Below are 27,520 nucleotides of genomic sequence, written 5' to 3' on the forward strand. Positions count from 1 at the left end.
ACTTTTCACACTGATATCTGAGATGTTCTTCTGGGATGTCAGGGGTCATTCCAGGCCTTGACTCGAGTGTGATGAATCCAAGATTCCAGTCCCACAAACTTCACTGCCGAGCAGGTGGAGAGAAGGATGGTATAAGGTTCCTCCCAGCTGGGACCTAGAGAGGGGAAAAGAGAGGAAAAATCCTTCACCAGTACCAAGTCTCCTTGGTAGAACAGAGGTGGCCCTAGTTCTTGGGGTTGGAATTCTGATAACTGTTTTAATTCCTGCTAGAACTGGGCCAGGGAGGTTACATGTTTAACCAATTCAGAAGTTCTCTGATGTAATATAAAATCATTGGTAAGGAAAGGCCGTCCATATACCATTTCAAAAGGGTGAAGGAACACCCCTTCAACCCCAAATTTGAAGGGGTGCTCCTCACCTGCACTAAGGCTATAGGAAGATAAGCAGTTTAGAGGAGGTGAGTTTCTTGAGACCACTTCCTGAGGTGTCTCTTAATGATATCATTTGTTTTCTCCACCTTCCCTGAAGACTGCAGTCTTCAAGCACAATGAAGATGGTATTGTATGCTCAGTGCTTTTGAGACCCCTTGGGTAACAGCTGCCTTAAATGAGGGGCCATTGTCACTTTGGAGGTATTTAGGGAGTCCAAAACGAGGAATTATTTCATTGACTAATGCTTTTATCACCTTAGAGGACTTTCTGTTTGACATAGAAATGCCTCTACCCAGCTAGTGAAGGCATCCACCCACAACAAGAGGTGCTGAATTCCCCTTATCTTTGGAAAATGGGTAAAATCCATTTGCCAGTCCTCCCCTGGGCAGTTTCCCATTCTTTGTGTTGCTGGGGATGGGGAGATGCCATTTGTTGAGGGGATTGTTTTTGAGGCAGATCTTATAAGCATTAACAATTTGTTTGACTGTTTTTGGTAGATATTTACCTGAGAACAACCTCTGGGCTATTTGATGAGTTTTATTCTTTCCCAAGTGAAAAGTTTGGTGAAGGATCTTAAGAACTTTCCACTGACTGGAGACTGACAAATAACATTTGCCATCCTCTGATTGTAACCATCCTGAGGGCTGAAAAGTGTATCCTCGAGAGGTGGCCCATTCTATCTCTGCAGGAGAATACTGAGGCTTTATTTCCCTTATGGAGCCCTCCCAAATTAGACAGCCTTCAAGTGTGCTGGGACTTTGGGGTCTTCTTACTGCTGACTTAGCTGTTTGGTCTGCTAGCCTATTTCCTTCAGCTATTTCATCCATCCCCTTCTGGTGTCCTTTGCAATGTATCATTGCCACTTCCTGCAGAAGGAAAACTGAGGACAACAATCTATTTCCTAATGGTATTTAATAAAAGAGCCATTAGCAGTCAGGGAGTGTCTTTCTTTCCAAATAGCGGCATGAGCATGAAGAACCAGGAAAGCATACTTAGAATCCATATATATGTTAACTGCCTTAGCTTTGCTTAGTTCAAGCACCCTCATGACAGCAATTAACTCAGCTAATTGAGCACTGTACCTGGTGAAAGAGGTGTGCTTTTAATGATGTCATCCAGGGTGACTATTGCATACCCTGCCCTACAGGTTCCTTGTTCTATAATAGAACTTTACTTGTAAAGACAGCCCAGTCTCAGTTTTCTAGAGGAGTTTCCTGGATGTCCTCTCTGGCTGCATAGGTTTGCATCACTATTTTTTCACAATCATGTTCAGGTTCTCCAATTTCATCTGGAAGGAAAGTGGCTGAGTTCAGGAAAGGACAGGCCTTTAACTGAACTGCAGATCCCTCCAGCAGCAAAACTTAATATTTGAGGAGGCGATTATCTGTTAGCCAGAGACTTCCTTTAGAGGATAACAGTCCCTTTACATTATAGGGGGTGTAAACAATCAGGTCATTCCTCATGCTCAACTTAGTCACTTCTGGCACCAGCAAAGCCACCACTGCAACTGTTCAGAGGCAAGCTGGCCATCCTTTAGCCATCAAGTCAAGTTCCTTGCTTAGGTTACTGGATGGCTGCTGGGCTGGGCCTCAGGCCTGAGTTAAGACTCCCAAAGCTATCCCCTTCCTTTCTGAGATGTGCAGATTAAATGCCCTCCCTATGGAAAGACTGAGGGTTGATGCTTTAAGTAAAGCTTGCTTTAGCTGTTTAAATGCCTTCTGAGCCTTAGGTTCCCAGATCAGGGAGTGAGTTTCAGCTATTGAGTTTCTTTTATAAGGTGATATGAAGGGTGAACTATTTCACTGTACCCAGGTATCCACAATCTGCAAAAAACCCCAAAATCCTCTTAGCTGTTTGAGGGTTTTGGGAAGGGGGAAGGAGGAAAGAGGCTGAATCCTCTTCTCATCTAATGTGCTGGTTCCTTCTGATAAGACTAGACCTAGGTACCTTACCGAAGTTTGACAGAGCTGAACTTTAGATTTGGAAATTTTATATCCACTACCTGCTAGAAAATTAAGAAGAGCCTCAGTGCATTTTTGAGAAAGTCCCTCAGTTGGGACACAGAGGGGAATATCATCTACTTATTGTAAAACTTTAATCTGAGGATGAGAGAATTCAGAGAGGTGTTTTGATAATGCTTGCCCAAACAAGTGGGGGCTGTCTCTGAATCCCTGAGGCAGTACTGTCCAAGTCAACTTGGTAGCCTGATTGGAGGGATCCTCTAAAGCAAACAAGTATTGGGAGGTGCAATAGCATGCAGAAAAAGACTTCCTTTAGGTCCCACACTGTGAACCATTTATTTCCCTCAGGCATTTGAGTTAGCAAAGTATTAGGATTACAAACCACTGGATGGATTGGAATTACAGCTTCATTAATGAGATGGAGGTCCTGAACTAGTATCCATTCCCCACTGGGTTTCTGTACCCCTAATAGTGGAGTGTTACAAGGGTTGTTGCAAGGTCCAAGAAGGTCCTATGCCTTTAAATTATTAATGATGGCTTAAAGTCCTTGAGGGGGTACTGCATTAGGGGGTACTGCTTCTAGTTAGGGAAGGAGGTGGGATCCTTAAGGTGAATCTGGACCAGGATAGCAGTTGCAGCCTGACCAATTTTCCTGTGACTTGCCCACACCTCTGGGCTAATATTGATTTCTACTAAGGGGAGACAAAGAATCTGTCCTGGAACCGTAAGGATGGTGGCTCCCATATGGGCTAGAATATCTCTAGTAAAAGACTGGGATGCTCAGGCATGATTAAAAAGGCATGAGTAAATAGCAATTCCCCCCTACTACAACCGAGGGGCTATGAAAAATATTGGGTTAAAGACTTTCCTTAGACATTCACCATGGTTGTGATATGGGAGGAGAGAAGGTCAGGACTGGAGAGGAGAACAGAGAGGCTGGCTCTGGTGTCCAGAAGGAAGTCTACCTTTCTCCTTTCTACGTCCAGAATCAACCAGGGATCCTGGATAGTAATGGCAGTTCGAGTTGCTGGAGCCAAGAAATTGAGCCCTAGGACCCATTAGTCCTGCTGGACCATCTGGGAGACTGGCTCTGGACCTAGCAACCTATATCTCCAGGGACAGTTTGACTTCCAGTTGTCTCCACCACAGGGTGGACAGGGTTGAGGTGGCTTCTTCTTGCTGTCTGGGCAACCCCTTTTAAGTGCCCCAGTTTGCCACAGTGGTAGTGATTAGCAAATGCACCTGGGGGATTCTGGATTTTATAGGCCTCTAATGTGACCAGTAGAGCCTCTGTTTTTTCTCATATTTCCTCTTCTTCTCCTGGGCTTCCTCCTGGACTCTATTGTAAAAGACCAAAGTAGCCACTTTCAAGAGGTTCTCTAGAGTACTATCTGGACCTATGGCCAGTTTCTGCAACTTCCTTTTGATATCGGGGCTGCCTGGGTAATAAACTTGTCTTTTAAGATTAGCTTTCCGTCAACTGAATCAGGAGATAGGGAGATATGTTTCACTAATGCCTCTCTCAGCCTTTCTATAAACGCTGAGAAATTTTCATCTGGTTTTTGATCTATCATGGACAACTTACAATAATTAAGAGGTTTGGTACTTGTCCTTCTCAAGCCTTCCAGTATGCACATCCAAAAGTGTTTTCTATTCAACTCATCTATGGGATCATTGGCATTCCAACTGGGATTTTCAAGGAATACTGCCTCCCTCCCTATTGGTAATAGAGATTCTGCCACTTGTTCACCTTCTTTTTCTCTTTTGCTCTCCCTTCTTTTAGACTTCTTATCTTCCAGACTTTTAGACTGGCTATAGGAGATACATTGTTCATCTCTGAATGTTTCTGCTTCCTGTTAGGTTTTGGCTTAAAAGTAGCATAGCATCTCTCCATGTAAGATAAAACACTTACGTTAAATTTTGGAAAGACTCTATACATCTATTAGGGTCATCAGAGAACCTGTCCAAAGTTGGGAATTCCTTAAGTGGCACAACCAGAGGAACTAATGATTTGGCTATTGGGAGCCCTGAATAAGTGAGGCAGGTAGGGCACCCAGAAGTTGCATTTGAGGATTCCCCAAAGGGTTTGACTCTCTGATTTTGGGGAAGTATCTTTTGTAGGCTTGTCTGACATGGCTGCCAAGAGTGTGGGGTCAACTGTACAATGCTTACAAAGATTTGGGTTGTCTCGCAGGGCAAAGAAAGCTTGTATATAGTAAACCTTGGACCATTTACCCTCCTGCCTACAGAAAATATCTAGTTGTTGAATAGTATATAAAAAAAGACTTCCCTCAGAAAGCCAGGTTTTTTCATCTCCAAGATGGTAAAAAGGCCATGTCCTTGTACAATAGAATATGAGCCATTTTATCATCAGAACCTCAGCATCAAAGGAGTTCCAGTGATTCAGAATGCACTCGAGGAGATTACAGACTGCAGATGGTTTGTTACCCATCTAATAAGAGATGGGAGACAAGGCATCCCTCAGTCCCCTTCCTCCTCTCTGCGTTACCCAGGGTGGAGGGAAAGAGAGAAAAGGCATTCCTCTTCTCCTTCCTTCTCTCCTCTGGGTCCCTGCAGCCATCATAGGTGCCGCCCCATGGATGCAAGCATATCCTTCACCCATGGATCCAGAGGAGCCAGTAGGGCAGGACTAGTCATGCTCACCTGCATAAGGCTCTAGCTTTCTGCCCTGCTGGATTCCTAGACCCACTCAACCCAAAAGGCTCCCAAAGTACCCTAAGAGGCCTAGGAGAGATTCTGTAGTAGTTGGGTTTGGGCAAGACTCTTTAATGCAGGGAATGTCCTAATACCATCTGTGGCTTCCCTTGCTATAGCCCCAGTGAAAAATCAGAATTCCACAGAATGGGACTGATTAACTTCCAAACATAAAATTCCTTTTTTAAAAAATCCCATTGTAGTTGAATGCAGAACAGGTGCCTCAAATGAGCATAAGAATTGAATGGCTGCCATTCCTTTGATGGGGAGAGTATTGAAGCTAAGATTTGTCTTATCAGGATGGCTACCTCCCAGCTGTTGAAAGTGGAGATTTTTTTTGTTGTTTGGTCTACAAATAGGACATGGGCTCTGATCACTGATAGAGGAACGTAAAAGGGAAAAGAATTGGGAAACAAGGAGTTTGGGGCAGAGGGATGATAAGGCTCCCCAGGGAGAAAAATTCCTTTCCACTAGGTGGCATTGTAGGGTTAGAAATGTTAGGTAAAAACTCTGACTCCAAATTCTTTTCAGGCAAAAGTTAGAAAGAGAGATTTGGGGTTTGATAGGTTGCCCCCATAGCAAGCCCAGACCGTAAGAAAATTAACTTCTCTCATAAAAGAACTGTTTAAATTCACTGGACAATGCTGAGCTATTATATGGAGGAAAAAAACAACCCAAAAGGAGACGAGGATATTCACTCGGGGTGAAAGATCCTCCCATATGGTGCCATGAATGTCTATTATTGAGGGATAGAAAGGCCCTTACTAGGTGAAAATTTAGACTGAAGTCTTGAATTCCCTGTTTCCAGGAAATCACAAAAACAACAACTCTTTGAATTACATTCTTGATTATTAAGATACCAACTAACTCTACTCCGCAAGATTATATCCCTAGGTTACAAAAACACCCACAACATTGCATAGAAAGAAGAGGTTGGAGACATGATAGCCACAAGAAGAAAGAAGGAAAATGCAATAGGAAAAGATTGCAAGTCTTTGTGCTGACTCCCTGATGGGCTGTAGGGGACTGGAGTTAGTCCAAGGGCCTTCAGATAACACTGAGGGGGTAGCCCCAGCCAGAAACCTTCAGTTGCCCTGGGACCTTCCAATCCCACATGATGGCTAGGCCCTCTGTGAAAGCAAACTAGACTGGAATAGACAAGAAGCCTCAGAAATGCAAGTAAAGGTGAAAGTTAAAGGTCAACTCTTAATCATCCTTCTGATGAATTCCCTTCTTCCCAGCCAATGCACCAAAATGTGTTGTAATCTTACCAATGCACCAAGATGTAACAGTCTCCCGTTGTCTGAGATAATATCCAGAGTTCTTTGTCCTAATTCCAAGAAGATTAAGGAGTGCAGACAACAAGGGTGAAGTTGGAGTGAAACTTTAATAAGCGAAAAAAGAAAGCTCTCTGCCAGCAGAAGGGGGAGCTCTAATGGGGTGCCCACTATGAGGCCAGTTGTGGGGGTTTTACGGGCTGGAAAGGGGAATGAATGTGCTTAGTCTACCGGCTGTCTTGGAGAAGGCATGACTCAGCTTGGCCAGGCACCCTGGCCCAGGACCAATCAGAAAGCCTGGCCTAGGACCTTTGCCTGGGACCAATCAGGGGCTGAAGTTATGATTCACAGAGGCCAGACTCACAGTCCAAAAACTGGCAAGGAAAGTGCCCACTGGAACTAACTGGAGCCCACTGTGCCCACGCCCACAAAAGGAGAAAAAAACTTTTTCCTGGGAGCCTGCTGACTATACAAAGGACAAAGGTGTTTTTATGCCAGGACTTGTTCCCTCATCTGAGTGAGCCAGAGGTTTGTGCAAGCTTTTATCTGAATGGGCCAGAGGCTCTCCTATCTGTGCAGCCGTAGGCATGTCTCCAGGCACAACACCCTGTGCTAGTTCCCTTATCAGTGCCTGCAGCTTGATTTTTTCCCCAGGCTGCTTTTTACATTATGTGGGGTGAGGCACTGACTGGTGGGCCGAGGGCTCTCTGGGGACCCTTCCCTTGCTATTTACCTAAGGCAAGCTAATTCCTTTTAGTGTCATCCTCATCTCTTGGTCCTTAGATGGCTATCACCTCTGAATACAGCCGATATGAAGAGTTAAAGGGGAAAGTGATAATATCCCCTTGACATTTCAGGTATTCCTTCTGCTCACATACTATTGGCAAGAAACTAGCCAGTCGCCCACCTCCAGCTGTTAAGGGAGCCTTGGAAATGCACTAGGAATTATTGGCACCCATGTACCAAGCTAAATATTACATTACCATGGAAGAAAGGAAGAATAAATTTTGGGGTAACTAATGGTCTATCACAGGAACAAAACCAAAGCTCGTCTTGCAATGAGCAGAGCCAAGCAAAGGGTTACTTGCCATCAGTTTTAGGGTAGGAGGTGCTATTTTACAAAATACTCGTAAGTCATATATACCTATCAGTATATAAAAAGTCCAGGTGTAAAAAGAATGAATTACAAAATGTCTTTAATATTTGTAATGAGGAAATGATATGTAAAATAAAACAATAGCCCTCCCCTTTCTCTGAAAGCACTCTGACCACAAATTCCACTTAGCCTGCCAGCTCACACCTTTCAACTTCCTTTACCAAAATTTCCCTCCTTTACATCACAATATTAAAAGGGGAATCTGAGAAAGCACTTTTCAGACAAATCAATATGTACCCAGGATGACAGCATAGATTAGTAAACCACAGCAAAGTTTATTCATGTGCCAGGGACATAAAGATACATTAATTGTTTGTTTTTCTAGGCTGCCAGTATAAGCTTTTCAAAATGTTTAAAGTAAATAAAACCAATAATACAGCTAGATACCACATTGCAAAGAACCCTAATGCTATTTATCAGCTTTAAAATACTTTCAACTGAAATCAATTACATTTTAATATACACATATTATATAGAAATTACCTATAGCTCTTTTAAAAATCCTATGACATTAACATGAAACTTTATTAGAATTTAAGATTCTATATGCAGACCTGATAAAGCCTTAAATTTAATTATTTTGGAGTAATGTCTTCTTAAGAAATGGTAGATAGGATAAAATAATTTACAGATTTATCTGCCTTTGAACTGGAAGGAATTTTAGGTAATCACCTGGTTCAACCTACTCCCTAAAGTCACACAGCTCTATAATTTCCCCCTCACTCAGCTACTTTTTTCTGTCTAAAGATATGTCAAAGCGATTTCATATGTAATCATGAGACATTCAAGTGCAAGATAATTTACCAAGAAATCCCACTCCAAGATCCACTGTACTTATTTAACAAGACAAATTAAGTTTGTGTAATGAAAATACACAACAAACATTGCATTTAGCGTTTTGACTCCACTTTTAATTAATGAATCATAGCTCCTATGCTGAGGAAACATATTATGTATAGATTAATATAAATAAATTACTGGATTGGCTAAATGAAATGCATCCAGTTCAATGGAAAATGTGCATTCTATTCAGAGCCATACTTTAGAAAAAAAGAAAAGAAATATAAATAAGCAAAATATAATTCAGAGAAGGTTGGTATATTTGCAGTTGGAGCATCTTGGCTTGAATGTCTTTATATATGACTCAGAAGCCTATCAAAAGGGCTCTGAGCCTCAGACACAAGATCAATGCCTTCTTTGTAAGTGTTCCTTACCCAAAAATGGCTCTGCAGGAGTGTCCTTGGGCAGCCAGGACACATAGACAGCCTCTGCAGGAACACTTGGCTCTAGAATTTGGGACTGAGGGAGATGCAGCGAGCCCATCATGACGAGTGCAACCAGATGTGGAAGAAGCCAATGTGGGCATGTCACGATCTCATCAGCATGCCAGTGTAGGAGAAGCAGAGGCTCCGGGGTCTCCCTGCTGATCTGGAAGATCTTGTCTGCTGCTTCTGTACACCTGGTGCTGTCTGAGTAAGACAGGTCTTCCAGATATTTGGTAGTGATTAAGTGAAACATATGTTCCAAGAAAATGTTTACTATGCCAGGAAGAAAGCAATCGCTGGCCTCTCACTGGAACATGATGAGAGGGACCTTTGTGATGACGGGTCCATCAGTCAGAAGAGGGTACGATGGCTGAAGTAAAATTAAGATGCCTGGTCTCCAGTTTTCTGCCACACAACATGCTTGTAGAACAGAAATTTGGGAACACTGCATAACAAATGGTGGATGTAGATGTTTCAAACAACATCTAATCTAGTTAGACGTGGCACCTGGCCAGAGTAACTACGGTTCACTAAAACTATTCTGGATTAGGCTTAATACCGTCTGCAGGACCTTTTCTCTGGAGGGGCTGGCATCAACCACATGGCAGCCAGGATTCTCCATCCGCTGGTAGGACATTTCTACCCTGGGGACAGGCAAAACACAAAGAGTTGGTCTACTTTTTCACACAGCTATTTGCATTAATGTTCTTTTCCTACCATAGTATAAATAGCTTGAAGCAAGCTTCCCATGTCATTTATCTCACTGTAACTAGCTTTGCCCACAGAAGACGTTCATGCATTTTGTTTAACAAATAATAAATGAATAATAATGTTTAATAGCTAGCACTTGTTGAATACCTGTTTTCTGCCAAGCATTAGCATTTTGCATGATTTTTCTCATTTAATTCTCAAAGTAACCTTAGGAGGGAAGACTATTGTCATCCCTGTTTTGCAGAGAAGGCAACTGAAGCTCAAAGAATTTAGGTAATTTGTTCAGTGGCAAATTTCCCCCAAGTCTGTGCCCTGAATAATTTTCATACAAGCCACAGTCCTTAATATATGCATGGGACTCTTCTAATATTTTGCCAGAAATCTACATATCCTTTCCATGCTAGCTAGCCTTCATGTGTATACAGAGTGACTAGTGCCTGTTTCTTTATGGAATCCTTATAGCACTGTGGTTAAAATAGGGGTGTCGAGGTGGATCGTCTGCATTCACAACTCTGCCTGACCACTTCCTAGCCAAGTGAATTGGTCAAATCTCTTCTCCTCTCTGTGTCTCAGTTTCCTGTTCTGCAAAATGAAGACTGAAACCGTACCTTCCTTGCAAATGTTCACTGAAGTTTAATGGAATTAATACAAGTAAATTGCTTAACATAATATCTTTACCCACAGCAGCTACCATTATTTATAACATTACTATGTTATGATAACAGGGCTATCATTGTTCAGTTAGAGAAAATATTTCTGCTTCAGTTTTTAAAGGCAGTGGTGTAGAACTGATTCATACTCAGTCATGAGGCAGGAGGCCTGGCCAGACTCTCTTCTGCAGTCGTGTTTATAACTTTCTAATTAAAACAAAAACACTGGCTGCAAAATCAGAAAGATTTTAATCCCGGTTTTACTAGTGAATAGTTATGTACATTTAGACAAATCACTTAATCCTTTGAGCCTTAAAGTTGTAAACTGTAAAATACGGCTAATGTTTTCCTCACAAGGATGACATAACATCAGTAAAATGCCTGACACACGGGAAGCATCTAATAGGTAGATGTTACTATGAGCTCGTTATCTAGTGCTCTGTGTGATTATACTATGACTGGGGAAACTGAGGCACAGAGACACTTACTGTCTTACCCAGGTGCAGCTGCTCCTAGCACAGCCAGGATCAGTGGCAGGGTCTGATCCCTAGTCCGATGACCTTTGCTTTAAGATAACAATGCTGCAGCCCTGTGGTGACAAGCCCATTGGAAGGGGCTGAAGTAACTTAGAGGATGTTGTCTCTTGTGTTTGAAAACTGGAAACAATATCACTTCCTCACAATCCTAAAGCCAGTGCCAGTGGTTCATCTCCCTTCAGGAATGCCTGCCGCTCACATTGCATTGCACTGGGACACCTACTTTTGACGAAACACACTGTTGGCCTCAAGTTCTGCTTCTTCCCTGGTCTTCTCCATGCCCCGGCCCTGCAGCCTCTGCAACCTCTCCTCAGGACTCACAGTGAGCAGCAGGATAAGGTCAGGTTTGAGCAGGTCCTCTGGCCACTGGTACACAGGGTGATGGGCTGGGGGCAGGTGCTGGAGACCCCCACTCACCTCAGTGGCTATGGCATAGGTGGCCGTGCTGTGCCAGTACCTGAGAAGGAATGGGGTAGTGAGTTCTCTGTCTGCAGAAGAAGTCAAAGTAGCATCTGAAAATCAGCAGCCAGGAATGATGAAACCAGGGTTGGCTCTACAGAAGTTTTTCTAGTATTGCATAAGTTAAATAAAATTAAATTTTATAAACTAAAAAAAGTTATACAATATTGTTTAAAAAATAAAATTGACAACAGTAATAATGCAGTGTGTTCTTCACACAGCTCCATTGACCCATCTCAAACTACCATTTAGTGTGGCCTCCCCTCTGTCATCACATCTTTTTGGTCCTGCTGTCCGCATTCCTCTATGAAAGAATGGAGGGTGACAGGGGACAATGAACCTGTTTGGCAGTTCATTTGTATTTAAGGGCTGTGTCTTGGCAGACTAAAATCCTGGAAAGGCCATGTCAGTTCCTACACTGTTTTCACTTGAACTTGCCAATGAAATTCACATTCTGGGACCCCTGAGGTAGAAGCCTCTTTGTTTCTCCCAACTATCCAGTCTGCTGATGGTGCCTCAGTATGAGACAGGGAGACAAATATGCCCTGCCCAGCTCCATGAAAGTCCTCCCTAAGCAAGTCAGTCGCTCCTTCTGCTGGCTGTTTTAAAAAGTGATTTTGGGGGAGGAAAACAAAGTTATTACCATACACAAAAGTCAAATCAGTCTCTATTTAAAAATGCCTAGTGGCTTCCTACAACCTACAGGAAATGCTTGGTCTTCTGGTAAGACACAGAACATCCCTCCTAGTCTGCACCTGCTTACCTTTTCCTCTGGTGAGAGTGAGGTTCTCAGCCAGCAAAACTCTCCTCTCCCTTCAGACTCCTAGGAAGCCCCCAAACAGAATTGACTGTTTTCTCCTCTGTGCTCTCAAAACCCTTTCTACGTGACTCTACTGAAAAACTCCTCATTGCAAATCAGAACTACTTGTTATAAGTGTAATATCTATTGTCTCCTCCATTAGGTAATTTCTTGAGTGGGAAATCTTTTTTAGTAATGCATGTCTGGCACATAATAGATATGCAATGAAAGAATGTTATTTGGGTGTATAAATGAATAAATGAATTAGAACGATTTCATTTATCAGCATAGTTTATTATACTCTTGCCCTGTTCATGCCATCTTCCAATTTTAAAGGACTAAATGGACAATTCAGATCCAATATAAAAGGACCATCACTCACAATAAATATTTATGATATAAACATTCCAACGTAGAGATACCCAGGGGCCCCTCCTCATTTGTACTTTCAAATTACCACCTTCAATCCTTTATTTTTGTTTTGAGGTGGAGTCTCACTCTGTTGCCCAGGCTGGAGTGCAGTGGCACGATCTCAGCTCACTGCAACCTTTGCTTCCCAGGTTCAAGCATTTCTCCTGCCCCACCCTCCCAAGTAGCTGGGATTACAGGCATGCACCACCACGCCCGGCTAATTTTTGTATTTTTAATAGAGATGGGGTTTCATCATGCTGGCCAGGCTGGTCTCAAACTCCTGACCTCAGGTGATCCACCCGCCTTGGCCTCTCAAAGTGCTGGAATTACAGGCGTGAGGTACCATGCCCGGCCCAATTCTTTAAAATCCTAAAATTTTGATCATTTTAGAATTGAACTCCTCTCCACAGTGAAAAGTACACAGTGGTATCCACATAATAAATTCCCTGTGTTACCTGAACTGTACATTATTCTGCCTGTGTCCCCCGCCCCACCTGTTTTGTACATGTAGGTAAAAGTCATCTAAGCTAATATAGCCTCCATCTCCTCATCTGGAAAACACAGATCATGCAAGGTTTGTTTTCCTTCCATAGTTGTTACAAATACAGACAAGTGCTTAAAAAAAACTGTATCACACTGTTACTATAAGATAAATATCTAATTCTTATCAGACACTGGTTATAACTAAAGCCGGATCATTGCAAATTATGATAACAGAACACAGGACAGCACTGAAAAGGAAACAAGTAAAAAATTCACTTGGTTGGGAGGCTGAGGTGGGTGGATCACGAGGTCAGGAGATCGAGACCATCCTGGCTAACATGGTGAAACCCCGTCTTTACTAAATATACAAAAAATTAGCCGGGCGTGGTGGCGGGCACCTGTAGTCCCAGCTACTCGGGAGGCTGAGGCAGGAGAATGGCGTGAACCCGGAAGGCAGAGCTTGCAGTGAGCCGAGATCGCGCCACTGCACTCCAGCCTGGGCAACAGAGCGAGACTTCATCTAAAAAAAAAAAAGAAAAATTCACTTGGGAGTTGATAATCTCAACACCATCCATCCTTCAAAGCCCTTGTTCACCTCCAAAAGTGTGCTCTGAGAGCTTCAGGCCACTGCCAGCTCCTGTGAATTCTGCCTGGACACCTTCCTATGTGTTACTTACCCAACTCCTGTTACTCACAAACTTGTACTTTCACTCTCTCTGCCAGATGAATTTTGTCCCTCAAGCTCAAAAAAAGCCAATTAGGGTCTCAGTTTTCTTTTTCTGGTACTTAAACTATAATTTACACCATGGTCAGCACATGCTCCAGATTCATTGAATTAAATACCTACCTATGAATATAGAGTCTGATATTATCTTATTTTTAAAGTCTTCTTTATTGTAGAAAAGTCACCAGCAAGAATAGATTTTTAAAGGTAATGGGGTGATTAAGACTCCAACCTTAACCACAGTCCCCGTTAAAAATTACTGTCTCTCATATTTTTCAGCTAGATAATGGTACTGTCTAAAATGGATTTTATTAAAATCTTTAAACATGAATAAAATCCACAAAGACAACAAATAACTGCTCTTTTCTTTTCATCTGACAAGGTGATACAGCATTTCTTTAAAGAACTAAATTGCAGGCAATTCACACACACAAAGAAGACAAATCAAGGGAAGAATTAAGGACCTGTTTCCTATAGAGTTCTCCCATTGAAAATACGGCTGCTTGTTTTAAATAATTGCACCCTTAGCCCATCAATTTCAGACGCTTCCCACTATTTAGTATTCTCCACTCCTGCTATCAGGGAAGCCACATTAGTTCAAATCAAAAGCAATTTGCCAACACATTATACACTGCTCATATAATAATGCTTTATATTTTAATAGCAATTTCCTATTTTCAGGGTACTTCCACACACATCCACTCACTGAATCATCATCACAACTCTTGACAGTAGGCAGGGAAGGGGGCATGAGTATCCCCACTTAACAGATCAGAAAACTGGGGGACAGAGTGCAGAAATCCCTGCCTGCACACAGTGGCCAGTGCTGCTTCAGGATCCGCAGGCATCCTAGGACATAATGGACCTCGAAAGTCATACCCTACTAGGAAAACCTTAGTCTTTCTCTTGGAAATAAAGGGGACTGTATCAAAAAAGATGTCAATATGGTTTGGTTCTTTGTCCCCACCAAAATCTCATGCCAAAGGGTATTAGGTTGGTGCAAAAGTCATTGCGGTTTTTGCCATTAATAATAATATCAAAAACCACAATGACTTTTGCACCAACCTAATAATTCCCATTGTTGGAGATGAGGCCCTGTGGGAGTTGACTGGATCATGGGGGCAGACACCCCCCTTGCTGTTCTCGTGATGGTGAGTTGTCATGAGATCTGGGTGTTTAAAATGTGTAGCACTTCCCCCTGCTCTCTCGCCTCTGCCTCTGCCCCTGCCCCTGCCCCTGCCTCTCTCTCTCTCTCTCCTGTTGCCATTGTTTCCTCTTCAATTTCCACCATGATTGCAAGTTTCCTGAGGCCTCCCCAGCCATGCCTCCCATATAGCCATGCAGAATTGTCAGTCAACTAAACCTCTTTTCTTTATAGATTACCCAGTATCAGGTACGTCTTTATAGCAGTGTGAGAAAGAACTAATACAGATATCACATATGATAACATCGGGCATGTTAACAATAGGGCAAAAACATTTTCCAGGCAAAGCCTTCCCATAAAGGAACAAGATTTCGTATCCTTCTCAGTTCATCCTAAGATTCCATGTAACTTGCCAACCTTGAAATTATTATTGTTATCCCCATTGCCATCCCTATTGTCATCCCAGGATTAAAACTACTCAAGGGCCATCACAGCCTAGACTGCAGCCACAGCCTTCTAGCTGATTCTTTTTCCTTTCTTGCCCCTCCCCCACCACACACTTTATTCTCCACATACAGTCAGGGTGGTCTCTTGATGGAATATTTCAGACATACAGAAAAGTGTACAGAAAAAGATATACTTTCAAGAAAGGAGTAGTAGTTCTGTGTCCAGATAGGACAAATCAGCTTTTCAGTGACCAGCTTACCCACCAGGAACAAGTGGAAAAACTAGAGGAGTCAAAATTAAAGCCTGGTAATACTAATGTCAACAGGGCTGTTAGTCACAGGGAATTGGCAAATACTGCTGTGGGGAGGGGAGGAGACTCAACATTCTTTCAACCTCTTTAGAATACTTTTTGCAACATCTACCAAACCTGAACAGCCACAAACCCCATGCCCCTGCAGTTCTGCTCCTGGGAACCTATGTAACAGAACTGCATCCATATGTGCACCAAAAATGCATAAAATTTAGTTCACAACAACACAGGCAAATCTTCAAAACACATGTGGTATGAAAGAAGTCAGGTGCAAATAAAACTCCATACCTAACAAATAGTTGCATCTGTAGGCAGTTTAAGAACAGGCAGAACTAATATATGGCTATGGCAGTTGGGACAGTTGCTACCCCTGGGGAGGAAATGGGCAGTGACTGGGTGGGGGCAGAACAGGGGTGTAGGGGCTGTGGCAGGCTCTCATTCTTGATCTGGGTACAGGTGACTTGACTGTGTTCACTTCTTGAAATTCCTTGAGATTTACATTTATGATTAATGTTCTTTACCAACTATGCCATACTTAAATGCAATTGCTTATGTTTACAAAAATAAGTAAATCTTTGGAGAAAATGAACATTCAAGAAATGTTAAGAAATAATCCAATCACAATCAAAGTCCTTCTGATCTCCTTATCAACCACATTTATCTCTACTTCCCAGAGAACAACTTTCTTAAATCTGCTGTTCAACATCCTTTCATCTCTCTACTCTTTGCAGTATGGATAACTGCATGTATTCTACTGAATAAACATCTTTTGGCAACTTGACATTTTCATTCAACATTACGGTTTTGTAATGTGTGTGCCCTCATGCATTGCACAACATATTTACACTGCTGCTGTATGGTTTTCCACCTTATACATATGCTGGTATTTATTTATGCTTTCTCCTGTTGATGGGCTTTAGGTTTTTCAAATTTTGCAACAGTATGAAGGAAGCTGAAAGAAACTTTTGTGAGTGTTTCTTCAGTAGGCAGGAGCAATCTTCCACTTTGCTACATCTTTTCAAACTGCTCTCTAAGTGATTATGCTACTATCATATGATATGTTCTGACTAGCATCATATGAGAGTTTCTATTGATCCATATCATATGAAGAAACCTTTAGTTATAGTAGTTTCACCAACTGGAGGGGAGTAAAATGAAATCCAGATGGGAGTAAAATGGAATCTCATGGTGATTATAATCTTCTCATCCATTTGTCATCGTGATGTAAGTTCAGTATGACCTGCTTGTCATATCCTTTCCTCTTTCTTATAGTATTTTTAAAGCTATTTTTTTCTTCTTTTTTGTTTTTTGTTTTATTGTTTTTGGGATTTTTTTTTTTTTTTTGAGACAAGGCCCCTCTTGCTGTGTCATCCTCTTGCTTTGTCATTGCAGCCTCGACCTCCTGGGCTTAAGGGATTCTCCTTCCTGAGTCTCCTAAGTAGCTGGGACTACAAGTGGGTGCCACCATACCCAGCTATTTTTTTAAATATTTTTTGTAGAGACAAGGTCTCACTATGTTATCAAGGCTGGTCTTGAACTCTTGGGCTCAAGCACTCTTCCCACCTCAGCCTTCCAAAGTGCTTGGATTACAGGTGTGAGCCACTGCACCTGACCTAAAGCTATTTCTTTTCTTTTCTTTTTTTTTTTTTTTGAGACGGAGTCTCGCTGTCGCCCAGGCTGGAGTGCAGTGGCATGATCTCAGCTCACTGCAGGCTCCACCCCCTGGGGTTCATGCCATTCTCCTGCCTCAGCCTCCCGAGTAGCTGGGACTACAAGTGCCCACCACCTCGCCCGGCTAATTTTTTGTATTTTTAGTAGAGACGGGGTTTCACCGTGTTAGCCAGGATGGTCTCGATCTCCTGACCTCATGATCCGCCCACCTCAGCCTCCCAAAGTGAAGCTATTTCTTACAGGTGAATTTTTAAAGTATAAATCAGTTTATGTCTCTCCTTTATCAGAAACATTCCAATGGCTCCCCAGTGCACTCAGAATAAAATCCATTCTATGAATGGCCTACAAGCCCTACAGACCTGCCCCAACCTTCCTCTTCCCATTCATCCACAAAGCACCTCCACATTTACTATGTTCTCAGAACATATAACATTTTCTAGTTGTCAGATATGTTAGCTTATTTCAGTCTTAGCTTCATTCTTGCAGATTTCTTTCTCCACAGTGCTTTCTGTTAACCCGGGAATTTTCACATTTGCCTTTTTTTTTTTTAAATCAGGGCTCTGACTAATGGTGCTTTCTCAGACAGGCCTTCCTAAACCATATCTAGTGGAGGGTTAGCCGTTTTTTAGCACATTACTTTGATTTTTCCTCTTCCCTGCATTTATCATGCTTTGATATTATCTTACCTCATCTTATGTATTATTTTATGTATTTGTTCACCTGATACTTTTCTTCTCCTATAATGTTAAGTTTGCTCCATGAAAATAGGGACTTATCTATCTCATTGATATGGTTTGGCTGTGATCCCACTCAAATCTCATCTTGAATTCCCACATGTTGTTGGAGGGACCCAGTGGGAGGTAATTGAATCACAGGGGCAGGTCTTTCCCATGCTGTTCTCATGATAGTGACTAAGTCTCACAAGATCTGATGGTTTTAAAAAGGGGAGTTTCCCTACACAAGCTCTCTACTCTTGTCTGCTGCCATGTGAGATGTGCCGTAACTTCCACCATGACTGTGAGACCTCCTCAGCGACATGGAACTGTAAATCCATTAAACCTCTTTCTTTTGTAAATTGCCCAGTCTCGTGTACGTCTTTATCAGCAGTGTGAAAATGAACCAGTACAGTAAATTGGTACCAGAAGTGGGGTGCTGCTGAAAAGATACCCAAAAATGTGGAAGCAACTTTGGAACTGGGTAATAGACAGAGGTTGAAGCAGTCTGGAGGGCTTAGAAGAAGACAGGAAAATGTGGGAAAGGTTGAACTCCCTAGAGATTTGTTCAATGGCTTTGACCAAAATGCTGATAATGATATGGACAATGAAATCCAGGCTGAGGTGGTCTCAGATGGAAATGAGGAACTTGGTGAGAACTGGAGCAAAGGTAACTCTTGTTATGCTTTAGCAAAGAGACTGGCGGCATTTAGCCCTTGCCCTAGAGATTTGTGGAACTTTGAACTTGAGAGAATAATTTAGGGTAACTGGTGGAAGAAATTTCTAAGCAGCAAAGCATTCAAGAGGTGACTTGGATGCTGTTAAAGGTATTCGGTTTTAAAATGGAAACAGAGCATAAAAGTTTGGAAGATTTGCAGCCTGACAATGTGATAGAAAAGAAAATCCCATTTTCTGAGGAGAAATTCAAGCTGGCTGCAGAAGTTTGCATAAGCAATGAGAAGCCAAATGTTAATCACCAAGACAATGGGGAAAATGTCTCGAGGGCATGTCAGAGACCTCTGCTGCTGCCCCTCCCATCACAGACCCCGAGGTTTAGAAGGAAAAAAATGGTTTTGTGGACCCAGGGTCCCTCTGCTCTGTGCAGCCTAGAGACTTGGTGCCCTGTGTCCCAGCCACTCTAGCCTTGAGTAAGAGGCCAAGGTACAGCTCAGGCTCTTGATTCAGAGGGGGAAAGCCCCAAGCCTCGGCAGCTTCCATGTGGTGTTGAGCCTACAGGTACACAGAAGTCAAGAATGGAGGTTTGGGAACCTCCGCCTAGATTTCAGAGGATGTATGGAAATGCCTGGATGTCCAGGCAGAAGTTTGCTACAGGAGTGGGGCTCTCATGGAGAACCTCTGCTAGGGCAGTGTGGAAGGGAAATGTGGGGTTGGAGCCCCAACACAGAGTCCCTACTGGGGCACTACCTAGCGGAGCTGTTTGAAGAGAGCCACTGTCCACTAGACCCCAGAATGGTAGATCCACTGACAGCTTGCACCATGCACCTGGAAAAGCTGCAGACAACACCAGCCTGTGAAAGCAGCAAGGAGGGGGGCTATACCCTGCAAAGCCACAGGGATGGAGCTGTCCAAGACCATGAGGACCCACCTCTTGCATCAGCACGATCTGGACATGAGAAATAGAGTCAAAGGAGATAATTTTGGAGCTTTAAGATTTGACTGCCCAGCTGAATTTCAGACTTGCATGGAGCCTGTAGCCCCTTTGTTTTGGTCAATTTCTCTCATTTGTAATGGCTGTATTTACCCAATGCCTGTAGCCTCACTGTATCTAGGAAATAACTAACTTGCTTTTGATTTTACAGGCTCATAGGTGGAAGAGACTTACCTTGTCTCAGATGAGACTTTGGCTGTGGACTTTTGAGTTAATGCTGAAATGAGTTAAGAGTTGTGGGACTGTTGGTAAGGCATGATTGGTTTTGAAATGTGAGGACATGAGATTTGGGAGAGGCCAGGAGTGGAGTTATATGGTTTGGCTGTGTCCCCACCCAAATCTCATCTTGAATTCCCATGTGTTGTGGGAAGGACCCAGTGGGAGGTAATTGCATCATGGGGACAGGTCTTTACCATGCTGTTCTCATGATTGTGAATAAGTCTCACAAGGTCTGATGATTTTAAAAAGGGGAGTTTCCCTGCACATGCTCTCTACTCTTGTCTGCCGCCATGTGAGACATGCTTTGTACCTTCCACCATGATTGTGAGGCCTCCCCAGCCCCATGGAACTGTAAGTCCATTAAACTGCTCTCTTTTGTAAATTGCCGAATCTCGGGTATGTCTTTATCAGCAGCATGAAAATGGACTAATACACTGGTTTATCATTGAATCCTCTAAATTGAGACTAGTCTTTGGCACACAGGAGGTGTCCAGTAAGTATTTGTTGAATAAGCCAATGAACAAATAAATGACTGAAAGTATAGACTCATTAATGTCCCCGGTATGCTATTTCCAGCTTACCTTGGCAAGTTATTTTACCTTTCTGAGATCTATAGTTCTCATCAGTAAACTGGGAATAACATGTAACATTCACCTACCCAAGTTATAGTTCCAGATACTAGTATTATATATGTAATTCTCTAGCAAATGCCGTGCCTGGTATAGGTAATTAACAATTCATAAGGAGAATTCCTATTATTATCATAATAACAGTTTGACTTAAACACAATTTTTTTCCTGGCATATACATGTACGTATACACACACACGCACACACACACACACACACACACCCACACACTTATATATTAGGGAGAAAATGCCTAATTCAAGGCATCTTTATACCTACCTGTCTACAATCACAGGAGATTTGGCAGATTCTTTAGCTATTTCGGAGGCCACAATATAATTGCCCAAAGAGTAAAAAGCTCTTCTAATGATAGTTGGTTCATCATCAAAGATCTTCCTCCACTGGCCAATGCAAGAGGGTGGTGACTTTAAGAGGACAGCCTTAAGTGAATCTGCCACTGACTGGGTCACCGTGGTTTTACCTGCAGGTCATACACAAAATATATACATCTTAACCACAGCCCCAAAGTTAACATTGACGTAGAAAGAGCACAGACGTTCTCTCAAACTGCAAATGAAATGAGTAGACTAAATAACAGGATTCTTTATAAAAAGCTGTAGACCCATAGGAAGTTAGGATTTCTCCGTGTGGTATTAGGAAACCCGGAGGAAAAATTCTGGTTAGTGATCAAATCTGATATTGGGAGTCTAGACACAAGAGCCCCTTTTACGTGTGACTTTTATTCCCGGCAGCCCAGCTACTGCTCACCCTCTTACCATGTCCCCCACCCAGAAGACTTTCTCTCCTCTTATTGTCTATAGTTGATGAACCCACACCTGGCATCCACAGCAACTCTTCTCGCCCCTCCTCTCTTTCTACCTTCTTCATACCCTGCTTCCACTTCTGTGCAATCCCTTTCCAATTTCCAGCCCTGGTTCTACCACTCACTCCTGTGCTTGCCCCTTTGGGCTTGGCCTTGGCCTTTAGAGCTTTTGTATCTGCTTTAGGCTTCAGCTTTCTCCTCAAAGGCACTGCTTAGGCCTCATTGACTTTCTGACTCCCCCTTGCACAGCCTCGGGTGACAGATTAGTCCCTTCCCAGAGCCCATCTCACAATTCTCAGCTGCTGCCTGGAGCTCAGGACAGGTGGTGATGAGAAGATCTACTCCAGCACACTGTGCACTAGTTTCTCTGAGCTCCTACTGTTTCGATTTATTTTTAAGTTTCTCTATCACACACTTAACACTTTATTGCCAACTATCTATTTTCTTTTTTTCTTAGGTTGTCAGGACGGACCCTAACAGTAGCTACCATTTCTCAGTGTCTGCTAGGAGCCAAGTACTCAGCACGTTATACTCCTAATTCTCCCAGTGACCCTGCAAAACAGTTATTATTTAATCATCTGACAGAAGAAGAAATTGAGCACTGGAGAAGTTAATAAATTTACCCAAACTCACCCTCCTGATAGGCCTTGGTGCAGGATGCAAATGCAGGGCAGACGGAACCACTAGCCTGTGTTCTTTCTGCCACTCTATGCTAACTCCTTGTAACATTTGTATGTGTGGATGCTTGTGTTGAGGCTGAATTTTTATGTCTCCTGTAATCCCACCAAATCTAAATTAGCTGTGGGTACAAAATAAATGATCAACAAAACACATCAGCTGAAGGATTGATGGTGTTACAATTCCCTCTGCAGCTGAAAGAAACTGTGATGGGTCCTGGACACGGCCAGTACATTTGAGTGATGACAGCTGGTCTCCCTGAAGGCCAGGACATGGCCCGCTCCTTCACATGGAGCCAGGATGGTCAACATGGGCCATCACCTGTGCCACATCTCCCTAGCTGGGTTCACAAGTACCTCTATATGGAAATTGCCTTTTATATTATTAAAAGTCTGTACCCCTCAAGTTTACACAGGAGGAGAAACTCCTACGCTGAACCACTCGGATGCTAGTTCTCCAACATCAACCCTCTCCTCAGTGTGTCCTGGGCCACAGGAGCAGCATGTCTGCCCCTTTTGTACTTTGGTCTCATGTGAGCACACATTATATTTTGACCTCAGTTTGACAGCTCAGAAGGCTTTTTTTTCTTCCATTTCCTAGTTCTTCCACATTTTGCTCCAGAAGAATCTCTGAATTGCCTGTGGTTCCTGGACACACCACCCTGGTTCAAGCCCCTGCACCTTTGCCCAGGCTATTTCTTCTGTCTGGAGGATGTTACCTGCTTTCATCACCTGACCAACTCCTATCTGTACTTAAAATACAATCCAGGTATCACCCTTGACCATGCACTCCACCCGACAAAGCCCCACAGAGGCCAGATTCAGTGCCCTTCCTGTGTTCCGCCAGAGCACTGAGGATCCGCGCCCACACATCATGCTGCTTCATATTGAAGGTCTTATTCATCTCTGCATCCCAGGGCCTGCCTAGCACAGGGCCTGCCACACAGTAGGGGCACACATAAGGCTCCATATAAAGTTTGGTTTTGCAGGAAGTATTTCTGTTTCTGCAACTAATCAGTTAGTGTCATTGCCTATAACTAAAAGGTAATATTATCTTACCCGTGGCATCCAGTCCTTCGATGGCAACAACCTGGAACTTTCCTTTCTGGATCTGTTTTGGGCACTGGTCGACCAGGTCAAGCACTGCCCGGGCTTCAGGAATAAAGGAGGTACACTGTAAAACAACGTCTATCCATCAGCAATGAAGCCAGGGGGCTTTTGCAGAAATCACACCTAAATTGCTGAGCACAATATTGCCGCATGCTAATAAGGCCTAAGTTATACTGAGCACTGTGCCAGGCCATGGGAATTCAGAGTATTTCGATGCTAGGATGGACTGGAGTGTTTTATTTTATATTGAGCAGCCGAGGCTCGAAACAGCTGTCCCTGTCTGGATCGCTTGGTGGCCTGCAGCCTTCACTGAGCAGCTTTGAGAAAGGCCAGGCAAGGCACATCATCACAATGTCCTGTGACACCGCAACCATGGAACTACAGGCCCGCTGGGAACACTGTCTCACAAGAATGGGAAATCAGCTGCACAGTGGGCTGGAGAGAGCAGTCTTCATCTGCAGCATGTCCTCTCCTAGCCATTCAGGGGGCTGAGATAAACAGCCAAGCACTGCAATCATGAAGCTGGCAGAGCAGCGTCCCCCTGGGAATTCCCAGTTCCTCAATGTGCATTATCTCACTGCACGCTCACAGCATCTCAGAGCGAGGCTCAGACACTTATGTGCTTGCTCTGAGCATGGCAATCTTCTAAGTGCTTTACAAGTATTCAGTTGCCAATCTCTGTGAACTGGGGTGGGGGGGTGCTATTATTATTCCCACCATATGAATTAAGGAAACTGAGGCAGAGAGTTGAAGAAACTTGCTCAAAGTGACACAGCTAATAAATGCCAGAGTTTAAATTTAAATACACGTGGTTGACCTTGCGCTCTTAACTGCTCCACAACGCTGTCCCGTAAGCTTGGAAAATATTCCCAAGATCCATGGGGGCATCCTCAGGGCTCATCTGTGTCACAGGAGGACATCTGCCTAGCCTGCGATCAGAAAGAATTTTCAGTCTCTTTCTGTGGGTACCTGCTGTGAGTCAGATGTTTCCTTAATCAGGACAACATCGCAAGATGGGAATTGTACATGTCAAAGGGCAAAACTTAGAGTAGTTGAGTAACCTGCACAAGGTTCATGGCCAGTCGGTAGGTAAACACTATTTAAGTCTAAATTTCTTAAACCCCCTAAACTCATGCATTTTCTTTTTCACCCCAAGATCCTTGAATGGTGATCATCAGCAAATAAAATTACTTCCCAGCTGACATTATTTTCCCTCACTCCCGGCAGCCCCTTTACTCCCTCTGTACTGCTGTTGGGATGCTTTTACAGCAAGCATCGCGTGGCTTGGTGTAGGTCTATGTTCCACGTCAGGTTGGAAGATCCTTGCAAACAAGAATCTTAAAAGAGTTGCCTGGCATACAGGACACCTTCCCTACCTGATTTGTGAACGGAAATAAACAAACCACCCAGGCAAGAACCGGCTCTACAGACCAGCCTCTTGGTCCAGTTCTCTGGTCTGAAGGGTTCAGATGCCACGCTGGGAGCTGGAAGCGGACAGAACTCTTACCTCCTCCAAAACGGCCCGGGCGGCTTCCCGGTCCGGGAAGACCACGGAACTGGGCAAGTCTGGCACCACCGGGTGCAGCGGGGGCTCCGGGACGGGCACGACCTGTGCGCAGCCCACCTGCAGCCGCCTGCCGTCTTGCACCTCCCAGAGGCGCTGCCACAGCTGGCCGCGCGGGTCGGCCTCGAACTCGCCCAAGTGCGGGCGTGGTGCCTCCTGACAGGCGCCCAGCAGCTCGAGCAGCGCTTGCCGGGTGTCAGGGTCATCCAGGGGGTCGCGCAGCAGGAAGCCTTGCTGTGCGCCGCCGGCCTGGCCGCCCGGGCAGTAGCAGAGCAGCCTGAGCAGCTGGCACCGCTGGAAGGGGCCGCGGCGCAGCTGGTGCAGCAGGCGCTGGTGCAGCCGCGCCGCCCGGACCCGGGCCCCGCAGCCGGCGTCCGGGGTCACGGGCACGCACAGCGAGTAGCTGCGCTCCGGGGGCCCCAGCAGCGCCGCCAGGCGGGGGTCGGGGGCGTCTGCGTCGCCGGGGGCGTCGGCGCCTAGGGCGAAGTGAGCCAGGGTGCAGTCGGGAAGCTCCAGGACGAAGCGGCGCGGCGGAGCCATGGCCCCAGCGCAGACCCCGCGCCGCCCGAGCAGCGGCCCCGACAGTGGCCCGCGCAGGAGCCGGCGGGCGAAGGCCATGGGCGCCTCAGCGACGCCGCCCTCGGCCCCGCCTCGGAAACGAAACCTGGCGGGAGCCAGGCGCCGGCGGGAAACGAAACCCGGAGGGAGCCAGGCGCCAGCGGGAAACGAAAGCGAAGCGTTGCGGGGAAACGAAAGCCGGAGGCCCAGGCGGGGCAGGAGCCCTGGGGCTGGGGCGCCCTTCCGGCCTCTCCTCCTCGCCGCGAGATGTGCGCGATAAACGGCCGGCGCTCGGGAGCAGACGCTTGGCCCCGGGGCCCCAGGTGCGCGGCTCCGCGGGCCTGCGCGGTCCCCAGGCGCCGGCTCCCGGGGCTGACACCGAATGAGGCCCCGCGCCGTCGGCCCCAAGGTAGCTCCGTGTGCGTTCTGCGGGTGGCTGGCGGCCCCGACCCTGGTTTGAGTTCCTCCTCTGCGGCTTATGCCGGGTGCATGGAGGGGGGCGGGGGTGCACGCGCGAGGGACAGAGAAGTCCCTTCCCGGTGTAACGGGCTCTTCAACGCCCACTTGCAGGCGCACTACTGCCCTTGGATGACTGACCAGGCCCTGCAGACCATGGGCTCCCTCCCCGACCTCAACTCCTAGCTCTGACCACGCGTCCCCGCCCCTCTAATCCTGCAGAGCTGCTTTCCTGCGGGAACAGGGCGCAGTTCTGGCTCTTCCCTCTCCTGTATCTTATCTCACCTGTGCACTCACTCACCTGTGCACACACTCACCTTTGCACACACTCACCTGTGCACAAGCTTTTCCCTCTTCTTGGAATTGCCCTCTCCCTTTTGCTGACTCTCCAACTGGGAAGTGTCGCCCAGATTGGCACCTCGAAATCGCCTTTCTTCCACCAAATTGAAGTTTCCTGCACTAAGGTGAAGTGTGTCAGGATAGCACCCTCTGCCTGCCACAGTCCAGCATCAGCACTGTTGCTGCCTAACAGTGTAACTGCCTAACAGTGTAACAGTGTTTGCGCAGTTATTTGGATATTTTATTCTGTGTTTACTCATTAACTGATGCCTTTTAAAAATGATGTCAAGCAAACCAAAAACAAACAAAAAGATAATATTCTCCAGGGAAACTCTCTCAAAAAAATAGAATTGAGACGAAGATTGAAAACATTAGATGAGCTGAAAGCAGTTTTTTTTTTATGTCTTAATAGTATTGGACTTAAACTTGGGATTATATTTAATTCTGAAAAAAAAAGTCTTAACAAACGTGAAATATAGATAGGTGGTTGGAGTGTGGGTTAATAGGCTAAGAAGAAAGAAGAATTAGGAGTTTAAAATTTTTTAGCTCTTTGAGAATAGAATAGTTTTTATTCTTTCTCAGGAATTTCACTTTTGGACATTTAGCATGTACCGGTGGTTTCACGTGTATGTAGTATATGGAAGTAAGAGTCTTCTAGTTACTCCCTTTTCTTCTCTAAGACAGTACTGCATCCTCAAGCCTGCTTGACCTTTTCCCTATGCCATCCACCTCTCTGGATGTATTAGTCTATCCTGGCTGCCATAACAAAATACCACGGACTGGGCCGCCTAAACAATAGAAAATTTGTTTTCTCAAAGTTCAGGTGGCCAGAGAAGCTGGAGATCAAGTTGCCAGCAGGGTTTGCTTTTTCTGAGGCCTCTCTTTCTAGCGTGCAGACCGCCTCCTTCTCTCTGTGTTCTCACGGGACCTTTCCTTTGTGCTTGCATCCTTGGCGTCTCCTTGAAGTTCCAAATTTCCTCTTCTGGGAAGGACACCAGTCAGATTGGGTTAGGGCCCATCATAATGTTCTCATTTTAATGTAATCACCTATTGAAAGCCTTATTTTGAAATACAGTCATACTGTGAGGCACTGGGGGCTAGGCCTGAGCATGAATTTTGGGGGACATGATATAGCCTATAACCCCCCACATATCTGGGTTAGTAGCCTCTCCTGTGTCCCCCACCAAGGCTATTTGTATCCTCGGACCTTGACACTCCACAGTCACGTGCCAGTCTATTTCCCACCACTGAGCACCTTGAGGGTAAGTAGGAAGACCAGCTTCTTCCTAACTTTTCTCTGAGCCTCCAACTGAAAGAAAACCTGACACACAGTTTGCTAAATGAAGCATCTTACCTTTTTTAATTTAAGTTTTCCTCTCTATTTTTCACCTACCTTCGCCCTACGAAGAGATGTAAAGTTAATAACACTGCAGTATTTGGGCTTAGTCAATATTATATAAGTGTTGAAGATGTTGAAGATATATCTTCATTCATAAATAAAAATTTCTGTTAGATTTTCAAGCCCCTTCAAATTTGTAGGACAGAGACTCTGAGAGCCACAGCTGGATGTTTATATTGACTAAACATGCCTGTAGCCACCCATCGTTGCAGGT

The 27,520-nt window shown here is 44.6% G+C and overlaps 2 protein-coding genes across 5 annotated transcripts in view, besides 3 other annotated features; one reads left to right on the forward strand and one right to left on the reverse strand.

Moving 5' to 3' along the window:
* Nucleotides 1-28: 28 nt before the first annotated feature.
* CMPK2 (cytidine/uridine monophosphate kinase 2) lies at nt 29-26,111 on the reverse strand. Of its 4 annotated transcripts, none has more exons than NR_046236.2 (5): nt 25,902-26,111; nt 22,940-23,054; nt 20,660-20,861; nt 10,926-11,159; nt 7,792-9,449 (listed from the first exon to the last, which is right to left on the reverse strand). NR_046236.2 is itself a non-coding variant. In NM_207315.4 (5 exons), exons 1-5 carry the CDS (start codon nt 25,170-25,172, stop codon nt 9,326-9,328), a joined length of 1,350 nt encoding a protein of 449 aa, NP_997198.2. In that variant the 5' UTR covers nt 25,173-25,383; the 3' UTR covers nt 7,792-9,325. The 4 variants fall into 4 exon arrangements, 3 of the variants coding, with proteins under 3 accessions (NP_001243407.1, NP_997198.2, NP_001243406.1); NM_207315.4 differs by lacking the exon at nt 25,902-26,111 and adding an exon at nt 24,498-25,383; NM_001256478.1 differs by lacking the exons at nt 7,792-9,449; nt 10,926-11,159; nt 25,902-26,111 and adding exons at nt 29-154; nt 24,498-25,295.
* Nucleotides 24,694-25,133: a silencer, noted in NCBI's record as "silent region_11120". NCBI's record gives its function as "represses an Ori minimal core promoter by ATAC-STARR-seq in GM12878 lymphoblastoid cells {active_cell/tissue: GM12878}" and the evidence as "EXISTENCE:reporter gene assay evidence [ECO:0000049][PMID:35858748]".
* Nucleotides 25,154-25,373: an enhancer, noted in NCBI's record as "active region_15245". NCBI's record gives its function as "activates an Ori minimal core promoter by ATAC-STARR-seq in GM12878 lymphoblastoid cells {active_cell/tissue: GM12878}" and the evidence as "EXISTENCE:reporter gene assay evidence [ECO:0000049][PMID:35858748]".
* RSAD2 (radical S-adenosyl methionine domain containing 2) overlaps nt 25,361-27,520 on the forward strand; it is a 32,355-nt gene continuing 30,195 nt past the window's right edge. The window contains exon 1 of the mRNA NM_001410702.1: nt 25,361-25,521. Coding sequence (NP_001397631.1) covers nt 25,380-25,521 — 142 coding nt within the window. The 5' untranslated portion in view covers nt 25,361-25,379. The remainder of the gene's footprint in view (nt 25,522-27,520) is intronic.
* Nucleotides 25,374-25,643: a silencer, noted in NCBI's record as "silent region_11121". NCBI's record gives its function as "represses an Ori minimal core promoter by ATAC-STARR-seq in GM12878 lymphoblastoid cells {active_cell/tissue: GM12878}" and the evidence as "EXISTENCE:reporter gene assay evidence [ECO:0000049][PMID:35858748]".

The sequence above is a fragment of the Homo sapiens genome, chromosome 2 (genome assembly GCF_000001405.40).
Source record: "Homo sapiens chromosome 2, GRCh38.p14 Primary Assembly".
In the NCBI taxonomy this organism is placed as follows: Eukaryota; Metazoa; Chordata; class Mammalia; order Primates; family Hominidae; genus Homo; species Homo sapiens.

Coding starts and splice junctions, on each gene's coding strand:
- CMPK2 (NM_207315.4), bottom strand. CDS start 25,172: ATGGCCTTCGCCCGCCGGCTCCTGCGCGGGCCACTGTCGGGGCCGCTG. Junction 20,862..22,939: donor CGAAGGACTGGATGCCACGG/GTAAGATAATAT, acceptor TATGACCTGCAG/GTAAAACCACGGTGACCCAG. Junction 9,450..10,925: donor AACAGTGTGTTTCGTCAAAA/GTAGGTGTCCCA, acceptor GCCTGTCCCCAG/GGTAGAAATGTCCTACCAGC.